The sequence below is a fragment of the Homo sapiens genome, chromosome 18 (assembly GCF_000001405.40).
Source record: "Homo sapiens chromosome 18, GRCh38.p14 Primary Assembly".
Taxonomy (NCBI): Eukaryota; Metazoa; Chordata; class Mammalia; order Primates; family Hominidae; genus Homo; species Homo sapiens.
The window spans coordinates 78,742,968-78,743,878 of NC_000018.10; positions in this window are offsets into that span (position 1 = coordinate 78,742,968).

Genomic DNA, 911 nt, shown 5'->3' on the forward strand with positions numbered 1-911 from the left:
GGTGGTCCTTAGCACTGTCAATGAGACCCAAGCACTACAGAAGATTGGAAAACACCATTCTAAAGGATCGCGTCTTTGCAAGGAATAGATAATGCTAGTTTCTCGTGCGCCAATGTGCTTGGGAGTTAGAAATATACCTGCCTGCTAAACAACAGCAACATCTGATCCCAGGTGCCTGTGAGCCAGTTCCATCTGGAGAAGTCTGAAGGAAGGCTTGGCTGAAATCCTCATTGTTACATCAGCCTTGAACACCACGTGCTCTCCACATGCAGCACTCGACTCCCCGTCTGGTCACTAACCACGTGTGAGGGACATACAGGGCACACGTCTGCCGGGGGCCGAGTCCCACACAGCCAGGCCTGAGGCCTCTGCACGAGGACCCCTGAGGTCCCAACTGTGACCTCTGCACACACTGCTCAGCCTCACCGTGCCTCAGTTTCTTCATCTGTAAAATGTGAATTATTGTGAAAACTAGTGAGATATCCCCACAAACTTGTTAGCTAAGGTGTGACACATAAATTCAATAAAGACTAACTTCTCCATACCAGGGGCCACTCAGCTTGACACTAACACCAAATGCAGAGGCGGAGCCCCTGCCTCTGATGGACCAGAAGTGGTCAACACCACTGAAGGTCTGGCTGACTACCTTCCAAAGCCAGTCAAAGTCTACGATCAGTGTCATCACACGTGGATGGAGCTGTTTCTCAACAAAGACAATTTTAAGACATCAACATCATCTGCCCCTTAAAGATACCTTTATGGGAAACTTGCTCTTCGCTCTCAGGAGGAAGTCATGAGGTTATCTTGACCACAGCACACTGTGGTTGTCACCATGAAGATGTGAATTAGAAATGATGGATTGTGGCCTGGAATTGATGCTCAAAGAATGCAAAGGAGTGTTGCAAGTGACA